This window comes from Homo sapiens, chromosome 3 (genome assembly GCF_000001405.40).
Source record: "Homo sapiens chromosome 3, GRCh38.p14 Primary Assembly".
NCBI lineage: Eukaryota > Metazoa > Chordata > Mammalia > Primates > Hominidae > Homo > Homo sapiens.
Genome location: NC_000003.12, coordinates 144,117,338 through 144,140,553, shown reverse-complemented (window position 1 = coordinate 144,140,553; position 23,216 = coordinate 144,117,338). Strand labels below are relative to the sequence as shown.

The 23,216-nt window shown below is 38.7% G+C and overlaps 3 annotated features.

Annotated features, from left to right (window-relative positions):
* Positions 2,739 to 3,252: an enhancer, noted in NCBI's record as "OCT4-NANOG hESC enhancer chr3:143856144-143856657 (GRCh37/hg19 assembly coordinates)". NCBI's record gives its function as "activates a minimal SCP1, AML or CMV promoter by ChIP-STARR-seq in naive H9 embryonic stem cells {active_cell/tissue: H9 hESC(naive)}" and the evidence as "EXISTENCE:reporter gene assay evidence [ECO:0000049][PMID:30033119]".
* Positions 11,798 to 11,897: an enhancer, noted in NCBI's record as "active region_20665". NCBI's record gives its function as "activates an Ori minimal core promoter by ATAC-STARR-seq in GM12878 lymphoblastoid cells {active_cell/tissue: GM12878}" and the evidence as "EXISTENCE:reporter gene assay evidence [ECO:0000049][PMID:35858748]".
* Positions 11,978 to 12,037: an enhancer, noted in NCBI's record as "active region_20664". NCBI's record gives its function as "activates an Ori minimal core promoter by ATAC-STARR-seq in GM12878 lymphoblastoid cells {active_cell/tissue: GM12878}" and the evidence as "EXISTENCE:reporter gene assay evidence [ECO:0000049][PMID:35858748]".

The window sequence follows — 23,216 nt, the reverse complement described above, 5'->3', positions numbered from 1 at the left end:
GGAAATCAGCTCTCCTAGGTGTGTTAAAAATCACTGGAATGAGGCCAGACATGGTGGCTCACGCCTGTAATCCCAGCACTCTGAGAGGCCCAGGTGGGTGGATCACCTGAGGTCAGGAGTTTAAGACTAGTCTGGCCAACATGGTGAAACCCTGTCTCTACTAAAAATACAAAAAATTAGCCAGGCGTGGTGGTGCACACCAGTAGACCCATCTACTCAGAAGGCTAAGGTGGGAGGATCACTTGGACCTGGGAGGCAAAGGTGGCAGTGAGCCAAGATTGCACCACTGCATTCCAGCTTGAGCGACAGAGCAAGACTCCATCTCAAAAAAAAAAAAAAAAAATTCACTGGAATGGTCCTCAAAAGCAGCATTGTTGGTCCGAATATATTACTAAGTTTGGTAATAGTCTTTTGAGTGTTAGTTACATATTATATTTCCTCCCAAGGACCCAAATGTGCTATCAGTGGTTAAGCGACACCACCCTGTACCAGCTGCACTCCTCCCTTCCAGTGTGAAAGGCCTCATCCTCAGGCTCTGCTGACCTCAGCAGGCTTCCTTCCTTAGGATGAGGACTCCCCAGCAGAGCTCCTCTCCCTGCCTGCAGTCCTTTGTCAGGACATTTACCAGTTTCCATATGTGCCCAGAGGCTTCTTAAATTCAGCAGTGAACACAGCAGAAGACACACAGATGTCCTCGCCTAGACATCTCCTCCATCCTCGAGGAAACAGGGTTGGAATAATATCGCTCAAGCATTAAGGGAAACTCTACGATATAAGCCAAATCTTTAGGTTAACATCTAGAGAAGTGGCTAGCCAAAAATAGCTGGGGGAGGGGGGTATGTAAAATAATTGTGACAGACTGCTAGTTTTTCCTCCAAAATCCATTCCCGCTAACCTTTTTCCGAAATATGAGAGTTTCACTAGGCATTTAGTTGCCCTGGTAGGACAACATTGCCCAGCCTCTCTTTTACTCAGGAGTCACCTTGTAGCTGAGTCCTCATGAATAGAATATGAGTGAAAGTGTTCTGAGCAACTCTTGTTCCATTTACTTAAAATGAAATCTATGCTTCCCCTTTCCTCACTTCCCACTGAGACTACCCAAGCTTCACATAGAAGACACCAAAGGGATAAATGAAGCTAAACTGTAGAAAAAACCTGAAGCCTTGAGTGACCACATAGGACAATGGCACTCCTACATGCTGGCCATTTCCTTCAACACACAAGAAGAAACAGACTTCTCTTTCATTTAAGCCATATGATTTAGGACCTCCTTGCTACAGTAACAAAACTGTACCCTAACTCATACTGGAGATGCTCACTCTTGGGTCTTCTCCCTAATATAAGGGCCATTACCTCATGGAGTCATGTTACAGCAGAAAGAGGAGAACAAAAGTGTTTCAAAGGAAAAGGGTGTTAGAAAGAACTCATGGATACCATGTTTAGAATAGTATTTGTTCAGTAAGAAAAGACTCTTTCTTCCCTATCTGTCCACAAGATTAGAAAGGGATTCTAATTCAAAGATGCGATGAGAAAGAAAAGTCACAGAGAAGGCGTTAATGGTGTAGGTGCTATGTGAGCTGTGAGAATGGTGCCCTCTTCCTGAGCACCCACCCTAACCCCTCTCCTATGCTAAGAAAGAGGGAGAGTGCATAGAATACTCAAATAGGTTTGTACAACCCCAGAGTAGCAGGAATTCTTCCAGGTAGAGCCCTGGGGAGGTGATAACTACCCAGAGAAAAAATGGCGGCACTACGTACCTAGGTATGAGAATGTCTGACAACAGTCTCCATGCCCCATCATGACTTAAGAACAGCAGGACTTTGCTGGATCCCAGAGTGCCACAGAGGAAGACAGAAGGAGCCAATGGAGCAAACGGAGATTTCTGAAAAGGAATTAAGATGGAAAGAGCAGCAGCCTGCATACACTGACATCTGAGGAGGGACTTGTGGACATCTTAGCCAATACCAACCAGCAGGAAAAGATGACAGTGGAAAACTGCAGCACTCCAACACAAACACTAGCTCCAGGTAAGCCCCTAGAACCTATATGCAAAGGCACGAAGGTAGAGATGATCTTTAGCAAGCTGATTAAGTTTCTAACTTACTAGAGCGCTTTAACCTGGTGTCTAGAACTTAGAAGGAGGACAAACAATATCTTCATTTCCACTAACTTCTGAATAATATTTGGTATCTTTTTCGATTACAAAATGAGTCTGCAGAGCAAGTAGTTAGGCAAAATCTGTCACCAATGAAGTCACACTTTTATGTGACTGTTGCGGGAAGTCAGGGACCCCGAATGGAGGGACTGGCTGAAGCTATGGTGGAAGAACATAAATTTTGAAGATTTCATGGACATTTATTAGATCCCCAAATTAATACTTTTATAATTTCTTATGCCTGTCTTTACTGTAATCTCTGAACATAAATTGTGAAGATTTCATGGACACTTATCACTTCCCCAGTCAATACCCTTGTGATTTCCTATGCCTGTCTTTACTTTAATCTCTTAATCCTGTCATCTCATAAACTGAGGAGGATGTATGTCGCCTCAGGACCCTGTGATGATTGTGTTAACTGCACAAATTGAAGAACATATGTGTTTGAACAATATGAAATCTGGGCACCTTGAAAAAAGAATAGGATAACAGCAATGTTCAGGGAACAAGAGAGATAACCTTAAACTCTGACTGCCAGTGAGCTGGGCAGAACAGAGCCATATTTCTCCTCTTTCAAAAGCAAACGGGAGAAATATTGCTGAATTCTTTTTCTCATCAAGGAACATCCCTGAGAAAAAGAATGCGCCCCTGAGGGTGGGCCTCTAAAATGGCCCCCTTGGGTGTGGCTGTCTTCTATGGTTGAAACTGTAGGGATGAAATAAGACCCAGTCTCCCATAGCGCTCCCAGGCTTATTAGGGCGAGGAAATTCCCACCTAACAAATTTTGGTCAGACCGGTTGCTCTCAAACCCTGTCTCCTGATAAGATGTTATCAATGACAATGGTGCCTGAAACTTCATTAGCAATTTTAATTTCGCCCAGGTCCTGTGGTCCTGTGATCTCACCCTGCCTCCATTTGCCTTGTGACATTCTATTACCTTGTGAAGCACATGATCTCTGTGACCCACACCCTACTCGTACACTCCCTTCCCTTTTGAAAATCACTAATAAAAACTTGCTGGTTTTACGGCTCAGGGGGCATCATGGAACCTACCATCATGTGATGTATCCCCTGGATGCTCAGCTTTAAAATATCTCTCTTTTGTACTCTGTCCCTTTATTTCTCAAACCAGCCAATGCTTAGGGAAAATACAAAAGAACCTACATGAAATATCAGGGGTGAATTTTGCCCTATATCTGGCTGAATTTTCCCCAATACATGACATCAGAGTTGTTGCTGATATCTCAGAATATTATTTATGCTCATCACTACAAAATTGTGGCAATTTTTAGAATACCCATGGGTCTTATTTTTAATAATTTTTAAAAAATATATCCATTTCTCGAATACAACTGGAGTTCTTACTATTGGAAGTAGATTTTAAAATTTTCAGTCAATATCTAAGATTTAATTAATGCATTTTCTTTGTACTTCTATGTATTGTATTTTGTGCATTTAAAAAAAGTATTCCAAAAAGAGGCCCTGGACTTTGCCAGACTGCCAGAGGGTTCCATAGCACAAAAAAATTAAAACCTAATTTTCTAAAGCTATGAGAGCTCACAATAAACACTGAGTTGAGTTGGACAGAAAGGCAGCACGGGAGGGAAGGAAGAGAGAAAGGGAGGGAAGGAAGTGGAGAGAGATTTGATTTGTTATGCATCATTTTGTGGACTGAGATGAATACCTATTACAATTGCTTGTTAAGAGACAAAAGTGTAGTCACAGCAAGCTAGGTCACTACAAATGTAAGTGATGTAAATTTATTCTCTTGAGAGAAGAAAACCTTTTATCCCTGAAAGCCAAATATCTATGCTAGGGGTTGTCAAACTTCAGTGTGAGTGTGAATTACTTGGTGAGGCTGCTAATAATATAGATTCAAAGCTCCATCCCTTGAGATTCTGACTTCAGGCAGTCTTTGGTGGAGGTCCTAGGACCACATTTTTAAAATGTGCTCGCAGCAGCCACAGCTGTACCATCAAACACCCAAATATGTTTGCAATGGCTGGATGAATCCATAGAAAAGTGGAATCAGAAGACAGTAGGAATCTATAAAAAGCCTCAGGAAATAATAGGCTTATTTATTATCTTCCAGCCAAAGATAATGCTCATCTCTGGATGCTCATCTGAGAAAATAACATTTTCTATATTTCCTAGTAAAATTACTTTCTACATGGTATGAATTATTATTTCAATCCTTCTGTTATTTGCTTGCTTATAAGTTCTTATAATATTTACTACAAAGAAACTCCATTGATAATCTCTCCAAATTATTCTACGTTGCCAATTATAGAAATCTAAATTAATAAGATTCCCTCTGTTTCCCTATCTCAATTACTTTATCATTCATGGAAAATAAAACTGTTGGTGTTTAGAAACCTTTTCACTTCAGTCTTTCTTAGAATCAGAGGCTTTGTGCCTTTAGTCCCAGCTACTTGGGTGACTGATAAATGGGAGGATTTCTTGAGCCCAGGAGGTCAAGGCTGCAGTGATTCCTGATCGCACCACTGCATTCCAGCATGGGTGACAGGGTGAGTCGGTCTCAAAAAAAAAAAAAAAAAAAAACAAATCAGAGGCTTTGCAAATTATGAACTTCTCATCTGACCACTTATTTGATACAAACTATTTATAACTTGTTAATAAGATGGTCTGCCAATTCAATACTTGCACTAACTTCTAAAGTTTATGGAAGAGTAGATTTAAATGGTCACCTACCCAGGGCAAAGTCCTGCAAGTTACCTGGACCAGTGGTTCTCAAAGTGTGTCTCCCAGACCAGCAATGTCAGCATCAGCATGCCCTAGGAGTTTCTTGGAAATGCAAACAAGTTCCCAGCCAAGGACTACTAGGAGCCTTTCAGGTGGTTCTGTTGCTTGCTAGAGTTTGAGAGCCACTACTCTAGGCTTCTCTCTCTCTTCTGCATTTTCTAAGCAACAAGCACATCCTAGTATCATAAGTCCTATTTCTCCTACCAGTTCCCTCCTTTCTCATATCCCAGTCAAATCCTTTATCATATTTTATCCATGCTATGAAAGAAGCCTCTGTATGGCTCCCATCTCTCTAATCTTGCTCATTCCACATCCACCCTCCTCAGAGAGCCCAGAGTTATCCTTCTGTATGCTAATTTACCCTTGATTTTTCCAATTAAAATCCTTCAAATGCCTGCAAGATGAAATCCAAAGACCCTAAATTCTTGTCATAAAAGCTTTTCATTATCTGGCCTTCCTTTAAGGCTTTATGTATTGATAAGCAATACACCTTCCCTTATTCTGTTGTCTCTTGGCCTTTGCATATGCTGATCCTTCTGCCTGAAATGAATTATTTAAACCAGAAACTTTGACATACACATATATATATATATATAAAATCATTCTCATCTATTGCCTAAAGCAGAGCTACTTTTCCTTAATCTTCCCCTCTCTGACCACTGCCCTCCATTTCACGCACACTCTATAAAGCAAAAGCAAAATCCTCCCCCTATTCTTTTTGGTATAAACTCAGTAAAGTCTCACTTCTCTGGGCAGCCTCCCATAATCACTCCTTGAAGATAAGTTGCCTTGTCCTTTGTGCTCCAATGCACTCTGCAAGAGAGCTATTTTCAGGCCTTTCATGTACTACTACAATTTATAAATATGATATTCTTTCTATTAAGGACAGGACTGTGTCTTGTTCCATTCTGGAGTCTTAATAACCCCAACCCTAGCACAGTACCTGGTCCAAAGATGCCAAATGATGTTGATTGCTAAAACCTATGGTTAAATGAAAGAGTAAATGCATGCCAGATAACATGTTTTAAAGAAAAAAGCTTGGACTAAGAAGTCATTTGCAAAATGGGCTTCTATTTTCTGCTGCATTACTTTCCAGGTTACAAACCAGTGGCCAGGAATCAAGTACTCTCCATGTACATGTCTTATTTTGTTAGCACGGTGTTTTACATTTTTAATGATATGTTTACAGGGGGCATGTACCCTCTCTCCAGTTGCCAGTCCCTTCCATCCTTTTTTGTCTTCCTTCCACCAGATTCACAAATTCATGTTACCATTTTGACTCATGAAGGCGTGTGAGTTCACCACTAACTTTATCAGCTCTTCTGGACTCGATCTTTGGCTCCTGTTTCTAAGCCAGCTCTTGTCCTCTGTCACAGTTGCTTCCCAAGTCCTCCCCTCTGCACCCCCCGCCCCACATTCATAGATACATACATGCACATTACAGAGCTCTCAGTATCTCTCAGTGGCACTCACCTTGGGCCTCTCTGGCTGCAGGTGAAATCTGCTGCTTCTCTGGCTTGGTGCTTTCTCATGTTCCCTATTCAGGGTTTTCCTAACCCCCATGGCTTAGAAGGTAATCATTAGGGCACAATCACCAGCTCTGACACATTCAAACTGTTTGACCTTGGAACATTTTCTGTTTCTAAGCCTCAGTTTCCTCATCTGTAAATGGAGCATTATATCTTCCCTATAGATTTATTGGAAGATTTAAATGAGAAGTAAATAAGTTAAAACATATCATGTAGTGTTGTTAAACCAGTAGAATGTTATTAAATTCTATCTTTCTGAAGTTGGTTAAGGCAACACGGCTCCATTAATGTAACCAAAAAGAGCTACAAGTTGAGTATCTCTAATCTGAAAAGCTGAAATCTGAAATACTCTAAAATCGGAAACTTTTTGAGCACTGACATGACATTGAAATGAAATGCTCATTGGAACATTTCAGATTTCAGCTTTTTAGACTAGGGATGCTCAATCAGTATAATGCAAACATCCCAAAACCTGAAAAAAAAAAAAACACACACACACACACACAACAATCCAAAGTATTTATGATCAAACTGTGTTTATCAGTGAACTTCTACTGTATTAGTCTACTCAAATACATTATTCAACAAATCCTTACACAATGATAGCTACAAACTGTGAATTAAGTACTGTCATTTCTATTGTACAGAAAAGGGAATTGAAGCTCAGAAAAGTCAAAATGTTTGCAAATGATAGTAAAGGTCATACATCAGAAAGAAATGCTTATGGCTACAAGCAAAGAAAGTATTTTTTAAATAATCTAATAAGGAATCAGAAAGCTGGTAACCCCATGGTTGGGCCAGTGATTCAACAAGGTAGGGGCACTAGGTCAGGGTCACTGGTATCATCTTGCCCTCACCCTCTTGGTCCTAAGATGACTGCGGCCATTTTATCCATGTGCAGATCCAACACAAAAGGGAGTAAGGGTGATGGCAAAAAGAGAATTACTTTCTCCTCATGTTTTTCTCTCTTTTTAATGAAAAGATTTCCTAGAAATGTCCTGGCAGCATCCCCTTACAGTTTATTGGACAGTACTGAGTCACACAATCTCATTGGAAGGGAGGCTAGGGAAGTTGGAATCTTAATTTCTCAACTTCTCATGAACAAAGAAAAGGAGGCTGGGAATGGGTGTTAGATTAGCCAAACAACTATCCTCCACAGGTAGACTTGGGAGAACAGGAATTCTTATACAAATTGTTTGATTATAAAGGCCACATCCTTTTTATTACTCTATACTTCCTCTTTTGTTGTAGGAATGTAAATTATTTTATAGAAATTTAACATATTAGTAAAAAATCTAAACTAAGGTTTTCATTACCATTCTGAACTCTTTCAAATAAAATCTGATTTCTGTCTCCAGTGACCTATGATAGAAATGGCATGTTATAAATAAACTATTGTGTTTATCAAATAGGGATATTAACTCTCTTGGAAAGATGTTTTGCCTTCAATATAAAGAATATGAGTGGCATTATAAAGCAGGAGTCATCAAATTGGCAACAGATTTCAGATATATTTAAATTGCAGGGGGGTGGATTATATGCTTTAAAAGATCCATTTTATATTTTTGATCATAAATTCATGTAACCTAGGTAACATGTTTCCACTACATCTTTCAACCAAACATTTCTTCAACATTTTCAAATTTCAAGCCAGAATCCTGTTCCAAAGGCTTTTTGTGTTTGCTTAAAGACTAGAGTTGAATTTCAATTTATTTTAGCAATCCACAGACAGTTATCAAGATGTAAATACATAAAATGTTAAAATATTTCAATTTAATTTTTTAAAGATTTTAAGTATCTACTTATTAATTCAACTTATTAAAATGCAATTCAGATCCAAGTTTTATTCCAAAGTTAAAATTGCCAGTCATTCAGTATTCAGGGTTTGTTTATTTAAATAGAGATGGGATCTTGCCATCTTGCCCAGGCTGGTCTCGAACTCCTGGGCTTAAGCAATCTTCTCACGTTGGCCTCCCAAAGTGCTGGGATTTCAGGCAATATAAATAGGATATTTGTCCCCACCCAAATCTTATGTTGAAATGTAGTCCCCCACCAGGTGGGGCCTAGTGGGAGGTGTTTGAATCATGGGGGCAGATTCCTCACGAATGGCTTAGGCCATACTCTTGGAGATAAGTGAGCTCTTCTCTGAGTTCACAGGAGATCTGGTCATTTGAAAGTGTGTGGCACTGGCCGGGCATGGCGCCTCACACCTGAAATCCCAGCACTTTGGGAGGCCGAGGTGGGTGGATTACAAGGTCAGGAGATCGAGACCATCCTGGCTAACACGGTGAAACCCTATCTCTACTGAAAAAAAAAAAAAAAGCCCAGTTAGCTGGGTTTGGTGGTGGGTGCCTGTAGTGCCAGCTACTCGGGAGGCTGAGGCAGGAGAATGGCCTATACCTGGGAGGCGGAGCTTGCAGTGAGCCCAGATAGCGCCACTGCACTCTAGCCTGGGCAACAGAGCGAGACTCCGTCTCAAAAAAAGAAAAAAAAGGAAAGTGTGTGGCACCTTATCTCCCCAACTCTCTCTTTCTCTCTCTTGTTCCTGTTCTTGCCATGTGACATGTGTGCTCCCCCTTTTGCCTTCCACCATCATTGTAATCTTCCTGTGGCCTGTCTAGAAGACAAGCCAATGCCAGCACTATGCTTCCTATTAAGCCTGCAGAACCATGAGCCAGTTAAACCACTTTTTGAAATAAATTACCCAGTTTTAGGTATTTCTTTATAGCAGTGGAAAAACAGCCTAATACAACAGGCATGAGCCACCGTGCCTAGCCAGTTTTGTAAGCAATAATTGTATTTGCCTTATTAAAGGCAAAAAGAAATGAGTGTCTCCTTATCTAAAAATTAGCAAGGTTTTTTAGGGCATAAGAGAACAAACCTCTCTTTTAGTCTGAAAAATCACCACAATTAACTATACTAGTTGTCAATAATGGAGTAGTTTCCCCAATTTAATACTTCATTTTTGATTTCTGAATCACCTTTTATTTTCAATATAAAAGGAAAAGGTAAATTATAAATATGGTGCTCAGATTTGCCATCTGAAGACAAGAAATTTATAAAAGAACATTAAAGGAATATTATCCGCAGGGATGCAAAATATTCCCCAATTAAAAGAAATTAAAAACCTTCAAGTATCTAACAGAGACAGCATTTTTAACAACAGATGGTTACAAAATAGTAATTGTAAGCTAAGCATAGTTACTGATCTCAGAACTGTCTGAACAGCGCTAGTTTAAGGCTGCCTTCATTAGAACAGCATTCAGTTGTTTGCAACTGTAAACAACTAAGAGTAGATTCACTGTATAAGAGTTTATTGTTTTGCACAGCAAGAAGCTGAGAAAAGGCAGTCCAGGGGAGGGATGGCACCTAAATGATGCCATTGGGGCCAATTCCACAATCTGAATTGGGCCAGCCTTTATCCTCACACTAGTTGCCTTAAAGTCACAAGATAGCTGCTGCACTGCCAGCAATCAGTCTCGTTCCATGTGGGAGAAAGAAGGAAGGGAGGTGTGAATACTAGCCATTTGCTCTACGTAACTGTGACATTTTATGACACAATTTAAAAGCATTGATTCTAGTCCTTAATTTTTGACTAAAAGAAAACTAAAACATTTTGAGGTCAAATGGCTTGCCCCACGTGGCTCAGCTAGTTACAGTTTGCTCAAGTCCTCTTAGTCCTTGGGCTGATGTCATTTCCATTAAGCTCACCACTTTCAGGCAGCTGGGTGGGCTTCCTTTGGAGTGTCAATAATGATAGCACTGGGACTCCTCCGTATTCCAAAGAAGAGCCTGGGAAAAGGTTGGGTCTCTGCCTCATAAGAACCTTTATAGCATGAATACCTAGCAAGTAGGGCATACTTCTCTATCATCCATAGTCTCAAGGCTCCTTGGCAATAAAAAGCCAGAGCATAAAGAAATCTTGGTGGAGAGAACAGTGGTCACAGTCATGATGACTGTGGCAGTGAAGGTGGGGGTGCTTTTTGGGGAAGACAGTGGGAGGTGAGGGGTTGGCGTGAAAGGAAGAGAATTCAATTCATTTAGAATGTGGAGGTTCTCGGTATCTATTTTTCTCAAATTTGCAGACCACATCAAAGCATAGAGACAAACGTAAAGGTCTGATTTGACATCCTATTACTACATAAATAGAAAAGAAAGCTCATAATTATCATGGAAATTATATAGATGGCCTACTGCTTGAACCACCACCAAAAAGATTAAGTAGTTCTGGTTTGACCAAGATGAGTACTAAATTCCTGTTATCAAAATAACTGGGTCATGCAGCTCAATAGGATAACCATCGACTAAGAGTGGCATCATGTAGTTAATCAGGATTCTACTTGGGAAAGCTGAAACACATCCTGCTATGTGTAATGGCAGATGGCCCCAGCATGCCTTCATGCTTGGTCAGATGTTATTAATCTATGACCAAAGGAGCAGGTGGCAAGCAGAGACCGCACGATTTCCTTCAAAAGTCACCAGATCTACAGAAAAGTGTGAATTGTCCCAACATTTTAGAATCTCCATAGTGATTATTTTTAATAGTTGTACTTTTTAAGCAAATGGAAATGAGGAACTCACATTTTATCTCCATTTTCCTAGTGTCTACGAACAACTCCATAGAATTTTTGAGTAATCACTCACTTAAACACTCACTGGACAAAAGTAATTTGAAAATAGAATATTAACTCCACATTTAAAGAAAAATTCATTAAACCTGAGTAGTTCATTTACCATGAAATGCATTTGATTAAATTTTATAGCAGGAATAAGAGTTTCCCCAGTATAAAGCATTCAACCAAATTTGTTACAGATTAAGATGCATTTGAAATATAAATTATTCTAAGCCAAAAACTATTTCCTTTCTGGTTCCCTTCTGTGTGGCCCTAGGACATTACCCTAGGACCAGATAGATCAATACCTCTGTGAGCCTCCTGGAGGAAGGGTCCTGACAAGCATCATTAGTCCACATTGGTATACTTCAGTAAAGCAATTAAAATACTAGCATAGGTAATTAAAACCTTAAATTTATTACCTACAGTTATTAAAATGCCATGGCCAGATGCTATTCAACATTACCCAAATAGCTTTCTTTTCACGTTATTATTTGTATTAGTGAAAGCCATTTAAAAAAATGAAATCCCATTTTAATATATCTTTGTATTTAGATTGCTGTTCTTGCCTAAGAAGAAGAAAAATAACTAATCCCTTTACAAATGAAAATTACTTTCTTGTGTTCTGAACTAATTTAATCTAAATTGTTAACTCTGTGGAGGGTGAGTTCAGAAGGGAGAAATCTCATCCCAAGGGCTAGAAGGAGAACAGGTTTATCTTACTTATGCATCTGGTACCCTAATTCATAAGGGCTTAAACTCTGGACTTACTACTCGTAGCTCACAGCCAGCAGCCAGCCCTTTTATGCAATAAATTCTGCAGTGGCAAAGCAATAAGTTAATAAGCTCAACCCAGGGGGAACGTCCAAGATAAATGGAGAGCTACAGCATAAACCTTTAGGAATTGGAAAGGAACAGCTGTTGAATTCTCATGGGAAAGCCTGTAGGTGATGTTTGGGAGATAGGAGGAAGGGGACACAGAAAGACAACACCCTCACTTCACCCAGCATAGAAAGCGAAAATGCAACCCTCCAAAGCAAACACCTCTGACTCACAAGTGTGAAGTCTGTTTCTTCCTATGCAAATGATCGCCAAAATCTGCTTGTGTTTTAGACTCACCTCTGCAAAAATAAACATGTAGCTGTTAAAGGTTTACATTTGGGGCAAAATACTGAATGCTCTTAGAAAAGCCTGCCTGAGATCTGTTTATTCATGTTTTGTGTCAACAGAAAGCCCCCTGCATCTCTTGGTTACTTCTACTCCACTCTACGTGTAAAGCAGCATTATGTTTGGGATTCAGAAACCAGGCCCTGACAGGCGTTTTAAATAGCATCAACACATCTTTTGTCTGTAGGGAATTAGTTTCTTGCCACTCTTCCTTTTTAGGCTTAGCCCATGACACAGACAATTAGAAAACCCCATTTAACCAGATGGTGCTAAAAAGATTTCATCGTAATGTGCTTTCTAATTTCAATTGGATTGAAGGGGGACACATGAAGGTCATTGTTAATATTTCCCCAAGACTAGACCTTGAATGAAGTGTCTTAGGCAAGTTTGTTCCTGCCTGAATGTTTCATTACCCTTGCAAAACTTCTGTCAAAGCAAAGCTGTTGGACAGGTTCATGTTTAAGAGCCTTAGGAAGCTCCATCTTAGCAGCAATTACAGCACCTACTAAAAATAATTTACAGAGACACACAGAAAGTGTGCATGAAGGTGAACAGTTTGAATGTTTCTGCCTCCTATAGGCAAGATAAACAGCTTATCATTGTGGTTGATTAATTCAACAAAACGACTGAACACTTGATTAACTCTGAAGCGGTTTGGATATGAAATAAGGATATGTGATGTGCTGTAGTCACTACGGCTTCTTTGCATTTTATTTAAAAAAGTTTACATGTCTAAATTCACTCATGAATTCAGTACAGTCAGGGCTACAGGACATTGTCTAGAAGCGTGCCTTCACTCTGGCCTGTCATGGCAAGTTTATATTAAAGGTGACTTCAGCAGAAAACAAGGAGCTTGAGCAGATCCCATCCAGATCCAATACACTCTGGAAAGCAGAGTATGTTCACCTGGTAACATAAGATCAGTGAGGTGGCGATATAATGTGACTTGGCTGCTGAAAAACTGTGATTGTTAAAGCATCTGCCACTTGCTAGTTCTGTTATCTTGGACAAGTTTTTAAGCTCTCTGTTACAGTTTTCTTATCTGTGAAATGTGGACAATATCTCATGAAATTGTTGCCAGGAGTGAATAAGCTAACAGACAAAATATGCAACGCAGTGTCTGGTTCATAGAGGGAGTTTTACAAACCTTACCTCCCTTTTCTAACAAGATAACTCTCCCTGCCTGTGGCAGGCTGAAGAATGAACCCTTCAAAATACATCCACATCCTAATCCCTGGAACCTGAAAAGGTTAATGTATTTGCTAAAAGTGTTCTTAAAAATATGATTAAGTTAGGGACTTCGAGATGAGATTATCCTGAGTTATTTGGTAGATCCTAAGTCTAATCGCAAATATTCTTACAAGACAGAATGTTAAGGACTGAATTTTGTGATCCTCTGAATGTATATATTGAAATCCTAATCCCCAAGGTGATGGTATTAGGAGGTGGGGCCTTTGGAAGGTAATTACATCATGGTGTGGAGCCCTCACCAACAGAATTAGTGTCCTCAGAAGAAGAAACACAAGAGAGATTATTTTTCTGTAAGCCACGTGAGGATATATTGAGAGGACAGCCATCTCCATACAAGGAAGAGAGCTCTTACCAGATACCAGGTCGGCTAGCACCTTGATCTTAGACTTCTCAACACTATCATAGATAACTGTTGTTTAAGTCATCTAGTGTGTGGCTTAAATTTGTTATAGCTGTGTCAACTTAGTCCCAACTAACCATGACAGAGGCAGAAGGAGAATACACACACAATATGGGAGGTTACAATGACCATAGAGGCAGAGACTAGAGTAATGCAGCCACAAGCCAAGGGATGCTGACAACCACCAAAAGCTGAAAGAGTCAAGGAGTGGATTCTCCCCTAGAGCCTCTGAAGGGAGCACAGCCCAGTGGATACCTAGATTTTGGCCCAGTGAAATCTGGGTATCCACATTGGACTCCAGGGCTGTGAGAAAACAAATATCTGTTATATTAAGCCAATAAATTTGTGGCAATTTTTTATAGAACCCACAGGAAATTAATACAGTCTCTAACTTTCTCAGTGCCACACATTGCAGTACCAGATATTGACTAACCTCCTTTCAAAGTCAATCAGCAATTTTTTTCAGTGTCCACAAAGACAACCATCTTATATGTGTCAAGAAATGTACTGTGGTTGGAGCACCCAAATGAGAAGTGTCTGTTTTCCCCTTTAATTGCATGTTTTCTATCTCAAAATAAAGAGAAAATGCTGGGGAGTTTGTGATATACTACACTATGGATCACATTGGTTGGGAGGCAGTAGGGTCCACTACATGACTGGATTCCAATTGAAGGCCCCCCCATTTTTTTGCTCCCAAGCTCTCCCATCACTTCAGTAGTTCCAGCAAAGTTCCAGAGCCCCTGACTGGGTGAGGAAAACTGCTGTCTTAGGGAAAAAATATGTAGTTTCTCCTAAATCAATATTTCCATTCTCACAAAAATTTACCCAGACAATTTTAAGTAATACACATTGGCAGCTTCATCCACGTCCCTACAAAGGACATGAACTCATGCTTTTTTATGGCTGCATAGTATTCCATGGTGTATATGTGCCACATTTTCTTAATCCAGTCTATCATTGATGGACATTTGGGTTGGTTCCAAGTCTTTGCTATTGTGAATAGTGCCACAATAAACATACGTGTGCAGGTCCCTTTATAGTAGCATGATTTATACCATCATTCTGAGCAAATTATCACAAGGACAGAAAACCAAACACCACATGTTCTCAGTCATAGGTGGGAATTGAACAATGAGAACACTTGGACGCAGGGTGAGGAACATCACACACCGGGGCCTGTCATGGGGTGGGGGGCCTGGGGGAGGGATAGCATTAGGAGATATACCTAATGTAAATGACAACTTAATGGGTGCAACAAACCAACATAGCACATGTATACATATGTAACAAACCTGCACATTGCGCACATGTACCCTAGAACTTAAAGTATAATAAAAAAATAAATAAAAAGCAATATGCATTGCCTTTACAATTGTCTTTCAAACATATTTACATCAAGGAAAAAGTCTAAATTGGTACTAAATAGTCCTTTAACACTTTTTAGACACTTGCTGATCTCCCTTCACAAAAACAAAAGGCCAGGCTACAAGTTCAGAGCCTTTTGCAGGCAGGAAATAGCAGTTAAATAGATTTTTATACTACTATTTTGCTTTGGTTTCTGTATTTATATTGATTATGACCTCCTATTTATGGCAAAGATTTCTTTTTCTTAATCATTGATGATAATCATACACATCTGCATACTTTAACAAATGTATTTATGTTGACATAGTGAATCCATTTTTTAAATATATATTAAATAAATAATACCACAGGTAGTCATAATGAAGATAGTCCTGAAATGCTTAAGGTTTGGGACGTTCTACCCTAAGAAGACAGAAACCTCTAGGAAGTCTATGAAAGATTTTATCCAACCCCCATATTTCCCAGAACATAAGCCACATAACATCAAAACTTTGATTCTAGGCTTGTTTAGGTCCCAAACTGCCCTCAAGTAGTTCAGGTAGATTCTGCTTGAGAATCCCGGTGTGTGATTGAGGACCTCTGTCAACCCGAGAAGCACCCCAGGCATTCACACTATCCCGCTGAGACAGGCTTGGGAACGTCTGAACTGCACTGTCCACCCACTCCCTGGACCTTCTCCATACCGAACAGTCAAGAAAGTCCTTGTCAAGGGCAAACAGATATAATTCTTAAATTAAGCAATTTTCCCATATGACATGACTATTCCCTACCCTTCTGGAAATAAAAAGGTAATTGGCTCCTCTATTAACCACCAGAATAAATTGTGTGGGGCTGAAGGGACTTGTGTTCTAATTGTTACTTTACCAAAAAAAAAAAAAAAATGCAGTTCAGTAATCTTAAATAATTCAGGAGTCATGGAATAATAGTTTCTTTGTAGAAATTGTTTTTACCTAGAAAACAAAACAAAAAATACTTACATACTTTTGGTTGAGTTATACTTCACTCTGGTTTGTGGACAATAATAATAATACATCAAAGGTTAATTTCATCTCCCTATGGATGATGACAAAACTGTACTCTAGTACTTTAGTGTGCACAGAAAAAGAAAATAACTTCCAGTCTTTTGGATACTGTTGCTGGAACATCCAGATATCCAGAGAAAATGTTGCTCCCTTAACTTGTCTGTAAGAGATTCAGGTTTCTTCCTGAGCCCCACCCACAGGGTGGCAGAGACACAAAACTACAATTTAGCCAACAGAAAATTCTCACTCCAAACCCATCATTTGAACCATTAATTGGGTCATGCAGTCTTATTGTGATAAAAGCTGCCATGGAGGTCTTCAACATCTCCTTCTCTCCCTTACTTCTCAAGTTGGCAGTGGGTATAGATGGAGACTAACATGCTCTTGGAGCAGCGGGTGAAGAGGGTAGCTTATATGGATTTGTGTTCTATCATTTGCTATTAAATAATATAGTTCATCACTTCTCTACCTCTTCATTCAGTCAAGATTTCACAGTCCTCTCTAGCTAACCTTTGCCGCTGCTATAGGCATCCTAGATCTGGCCCAGGCAGTTTGCCCTGCAGCCCTGGTTTATAGGTCACTTCCCTCTTAACAATGGCCATCTCTCAGATTCTGACATCAAACTGCCTGTTTTTACATCACCACTTACTAACAGTGACCTTGGATGAGACAATAAAATCTCTGTGACTGGGTTTCCTCGTCTATAAAATCAGGAGGGGGTAATAATAACAGTATCTACCTCTCAGAGTTGCTACGAGGATTAATTAATCAACATAAAATACTTGAAGCGGTATCTGTCACATGTAAGCACTATATAAGTATTGATCACTATTGTTATTGTTGCAATAGGAAGGTGAGCAGCCAGAGAGCCAGCTAACCTCCACACCTCCCACAGGACCTTGTAAGAGTGTCTGGATTCTATTCAGATCACACACCAGCCAAATGAAGCTCAGAAGCTCAGAGATCCAAACTTAGATCTTCCTCTCAGGCTATGCCATGGAGTTTCCCAGTTGTGACTTGTTCCAGGTTAACAGGAGGGCAGGCTGCAAGATAGTCTTCTCATAGCATCCAAAAAAAAAAAAAAAAATCAAAGGAGAACTCTGTCCACAGCATTCCCTTCGGTTTGCATAATTACCATGCACAGGCCAAGCCAGAGAAAGGAAATGGGGCTTCCTCTGTCCACTCTTGTCTCTCTTACCTCTCACTCTTCCTCCTTCCCCAATCCTACTGAAGCTGCTATAAGGAGCTTTTCTTTACTTTTTCTTCCTGTCTTCCTTCCCTTGTATGAAATCCTTATCAGACTTAGCTTTGATGGTTGTGCCACAAATGGTGGACAAGGTAGAAGAGAATTTACCAAAAAAGAAGACCTAAATTAGAAAGCTTTCAAAAATATCATACTCAATGCACTAGTTTATACCCCAAAACAGCAAGAACCATCCTCAAGTACTCAGTGATGGAAGGCAAAAAGTCAAAACAACTATACTGGGTTGGAAGGCTGGAATTAAGGGAAGTAGCAGGATTCCAGTATATTTCAGCTCAAGGCAGTGATTTCCTGAGGAGAAATGATCCAGACCCTCTCCCAGTGAGACTGTGGAAGGCAGTAACATTTTAACTAGAAATAAATTGCTGATTCTAGGTTATTATAAACTAAACTTTTCTGGGAAAATTGGCTATAATATGAATCTTTCAAAACTATAATGAACAAAACAGGAAGCACAGCACCTTAACGAGAAACAGCCTGGAGTCAGGGTTCCTTACAGACTTTCTCTGCAGGAAATGTCAGTTTCTAGAGTTTGTGATCAATAAGTATTTTTCATTAAATAATGCAAAAAAAGGGCAAAAAAGAAAATCACTTAGCTCCTTGGAGAGGTTTCCTGTAATTTATCAAGGTAGGCCATACACACATACAAGTTCAAGATCTTCCTATTCAACACTGCCAATACCATGAAGCGAAACCTATTGTTCTGATACAAGGGAAATGCTTTGGGACTTTCTCAGGCTATTCTCCCTAAAATATTAATATAAAAATAGAGACTATTCCATAGACTACATAAATTTAGAAATCAGATATCTGTAAACTCAATAGCTATACCCCACCATAAGAACCACCTGTCAACAAACTGAAGTGTCTCTTAACAACCAGACGTCACTGCTGATGGCTTCAGGTGTAAACTGCAGTATCTCTTGTATTAACAGTATAGCCACAAGAACATTATTTTATATTTCTGAGGTGCTGTGTGTGTGTCCATGCATATGATGAAAATGTTAAATAGGCTCAGAGTTGGGAAGAAAACTTTGGTAGTCCTAATTGTGTTGCACATTTCTGTCTGCAAGGTCATTCATTAGCTGTTATTCCATGAAAGTGGCAGGCCTAACTCATTAAAGCCATTGGTGTTTTTTAAATGGAAATGGTTTACAACAATTTAACAGAAAAAGCCCTGGGGGTATGCAGAAGTTTCTTCATTAAAAGAAAATTAACCCTGAATTTGTAGCACAGTAACTTAATAAGCAATGGTAATGCTTGCCCAAAACATACAAGATCAAAAACATTTCCATAAAAAGGCTTGATTATATTCAGCAATTAGGACAGAATGGGAAAGTAATGGAATCATAGAAGTTTAGATCTGAAAAGCTTGCAACAGATACTCCATCCAATCTGGTTTCTTCCTCCCAACCATCTCTATCCCCCTCCTAATATATATTTTACAAGTGAGGCAACTAAGTCCAAGAAAAATTAAATTATTTTCTCTATGTTACATATTTAATATTATAATTGAAAGTCATTTCTCACTTCAAAGCATCAAAAATGACAAAAGAAATTCCAGTGTAAACAACAAAATATAACACAAATTTGCATTATATAAGATGAAGGAACTAATATCTTTAACATATAGAGAATGTCATACTAATCAATAAAAAAATTCAAGCGTGCCAAAGAGAAAATAGGGAAAAAACAGTTATTTACAATTTTAAAAAGAATTCATGGAAGTCTACATAAATGTTCAATCTTAATAGAAAGCAAATAAATGTAAATTGAGACAAAATTTCCATGTTCACTCATTCATTGCTCAAGACTTGTTAAAAGGTTAATATTCAGTATTGCTGAGGATTAGGGAAAGGAGTGCTTTTATATGCAGCTCGGCCGGGCGCGGTGGCTCATGCCTGTAATCCCAGCACTTTGGGAGGCTGAGGAAGATGGATCACTTGAGGTCAGGAGTTCGAGACCAGCCTGACCAACATGGTGAAACCCTGTCTCTACTAAAAATATAAAAGTTAGCCGGGTGTAGTGGTGGGCGCCTGTAATCCCAGCTACTCAGGAGTCTGAGGCAGGAGAATCAGTTGAACCTGGGGGGCGGAGGTTGCAGTGAGCCGAGATCGCACCACTGCACTCCAGCCTAGGTGACAAAGTGAGACTCCATCTCAAAAAATATATAAACAAATAAAAAATATAAATATGCAGCTGGTATTCATATAAACTGGTACATCTTTCTGAACAGCAATTTAGCAATGTGCCAAAAGCCTTAAAAATATTTATTTCCTTTGACTCAATATCTAACTACTTACCCTAAAGAATTAGAGTTGTACACCAATATTTATATAAAAAGATGTTTACTACAATGTTATAGAAGTGAAGAATTGGAGTCAATCTAAATATCCAATAGTAGGAATTGAGTAAATATGTTTTTATGCATGTATTTAATTAAACACTACCCAGTAATAAGTCATGTGACAAAATAAATTTAATGTCAAAAAATGTTTATAAAAATATTAGATTATGAAAGGAAGGTATACTAATTTAATAAGTTGATCTATCAATAAAACAATAAAATATATGGAAGATAGATATTAAAATGTAAGGCAGTAGTAGCATTATGAAAAATTTCTTTATTATTTTCTGTATTTTTAAAACTCTACCAAAGAATATATATTACCTAAAGACAGAACCTAAACAATGTAAAAGACAACTGAACATTGATTAAAATAAATCTGACTTGAAAGCTAAACAATGTAAAAGACTACTTAACATTGATTAAAATAAATCTGACTTGCTTATCAATGTGGAGGTGGGATTTTATAATCTCTAGGAACCTTCCCAAGGATATCACTCTGTAGTTCAAATCCAAGACTTCAGATAGCCACACTCTCTCTCTGTTGAATTCTGCTTCTATAAAGACAAGACACATAACTAAAAAGCAAAATAAAACAAAACAAACCTAATAGAATTATTTTAATATTGTGTTTAATTTTTTTTGAGGGGGTTGGAAATGGACCCAGTGTTCCTTTAAATCTTAAGCATCACTTTGTAACTTCGATCTCTGAAACAGGGTCACTGGTTTAAATGCCTTTAGCACTTGATTAATTAGTAATCAGGACAGAGTTGATGGTTTTTTTCTGCCTCAGAGCTGGTAATTATCATTCCTGACACAGAATTCAACTTTCAGTAGGCAGCAGGCACCCTGCTGTCACTATTATACTCTGCTCCACACTCCAAATTTATTTTAAGATTTTGTTTGGAAAGAATCCTGGTGAAGATTTTACCCATAGCTGCCTCTTCCTGGAGTCACTTTTTTCTATCATTGCCTCCCTGTATTCACAGATAATATAATTGACTATTTGATGAAAGCAAAGAACTTGTAGAACAATAGTATGTAGCTCAGGGAGATATTAAACATTTTAAAAACTCAGTCATGATTATAAAACAGGGCGGGGGAAGAACTTGAAAAGACTATTGTGTTGTAAGAAAGAACCCCAAAGCAGCATGAAAAAAATTAGAAAAGTTGGTTTTCCTCTTTTCACCTTTGAGCATTGTGCCTGCAATCAAGCATGTGTACAAAACTGTCTAAAGCCATGGTTTACCTAGGGCCTATTAGTTAAGGATGCTATTGAAAAAACACCTGTAATACATCAATTGACGTTCACATTTGGAGATTAGGTAACCAAATTACAAACTATAAATTCATGTTTCCACTCTCAATGTTGAAGACTGCCAAAAAAAAAAAAAAAAAAAAAAAATATATATATATATATATATATACACACACACACACACATGACAATGACACCAAAAAAGCCCCCTTACAATTCCTGTTAATGAAAGGGTGGTCACAGATGATACAGCACAACTTGTGAATTTAAAAGAAAGAAAGAAACCAGATGGACCCAGTGTACTGTGGGAGTGTTGTATGTTATAGATGGCCCTTCGCCTCCTGGGGTAAAGTCCTATTCTAATTATTGCATCATACCTTTTGTGCTCCACAGCATTTGCTGCCTTCTAGTTATTAATAGAATACTAAGATTTGGGGAGCCAGGTTCAAAAGACATTTTTAAAAGTAATATAAGCAATCTTATGATTCTGTGATCCAAAAGCTTTTTTACCAGGGTCCAAATTTAGACCCAGGAAATAACTGCTTCCTATTTGTATTAGACCATTTTCATACGCTGATAAAGACATATCTGAGACTGGGATGAAAAAGAGGTTTAATTAAACTTACAGTTCTACATGGCTGGGGAGGCCTTAGAATCATGGCAGGAGGTGAGAGGCACTTCTTACATGGTGGCAGCAAGAGAAAATGAGGAAGATGCAAAAGCGGAAACCCCTGATAAAACCATCAGATCTTGTGGGACTTATTCACTACCATGAGAACAGTATGGGGGAATCTGCCCTCGTGATTCAAATTATCTCCCACCACAACAAGCGGGAATTATGGGAGTACAGTTCAAGATGGGATTTGGGTTGAGACACAGTCAAGCTATATCACCATTCCTTTGGATGCTGATGCCCTTGAGAGAGCAAAGGAAGTGAGTGTAATGCAGAAGTGATGGTTTGATTCTCAGAACAGAAAAACAAGTCCCAGGTCAGAACTGCAGGACAGTGTGGCAGTGACACCACAGGAGTCAGACAACAATCAGAACATGGTAATGCTACAGCACTATGACCTCATGCCTTTGAATAGGAGCATTAGACAGAGTTAGGATAAGATATACAGGCTGTCTTGAATCCTAGCATGATACTAATAAGGATTACTCCTGAAAATACTAAGAAGTTATTAGAAAGAACTGTTGGAAGTCAAGTTATCAAGAAAATGAAGATATCAGGGTCATATTGATGTAGTCAGCATAGCTTGCCAAGTATATCCAGTTTTCCATCTTCTCGGAAACTTAAAGCATCCCCATGGCTGCAGCCATGTAACTGTTCCTGTTCAATGAGCTGCAAGCTCAAATGAAGTGTTTCTGGAGCATTTAATGACCAGAAGGAGACATTCAAGATTTCTTTATTCTTTCTGACATGGTGGCTGACCACATTCAAGATGGATAGTTACTCTGTCAACCTGGACTCCTAAAGTGTTATGATGAGCCCCACCCCTAGTAGACCCACAATACATATTACTAAATTCAAAATGAAACTGTTATTTGAGGCCACAGATATTTGGAGTTGTTTGCTACCTCAACATAATCCAATATTCTAACTGATACATATAGTGACTTCCAAATGAATACAGCCTAATGATAAAGCTTTTGTGACCATTCAGGAAACCATTTACAAATTACAAAAGTCAAAAAAAGGCAAAAATTATTTTAAGAATCCTAGAATAGTTAAAAGTGAACAATGTAAAAAGAAAAGAAAAGCATCCTTAAACTTGTGAATTTCAGGGTAAAAAAATCTGCTGGAAGAGGAAAGGAGTGAATCAAGAGCTATAAGCATAAATCCAATAAATAAATAAATAAACTTCCTTATGTTTTCTAGAGTTCTTTAAGCAAGGTAAAAATAGTTCATAGAATAATTTATCTTTATAAGCACATTGGTATAAGTTCCTCATTTTTGACACATTGTTCTATACATAAAATGTATGATTCTACTTTTCTGACACTACTGTCATTATTCCCTTTGAATTACCAATTGAAAACTATGGGATCATAGTTTTATTATACAGACAAAAAAATACTTTCAGT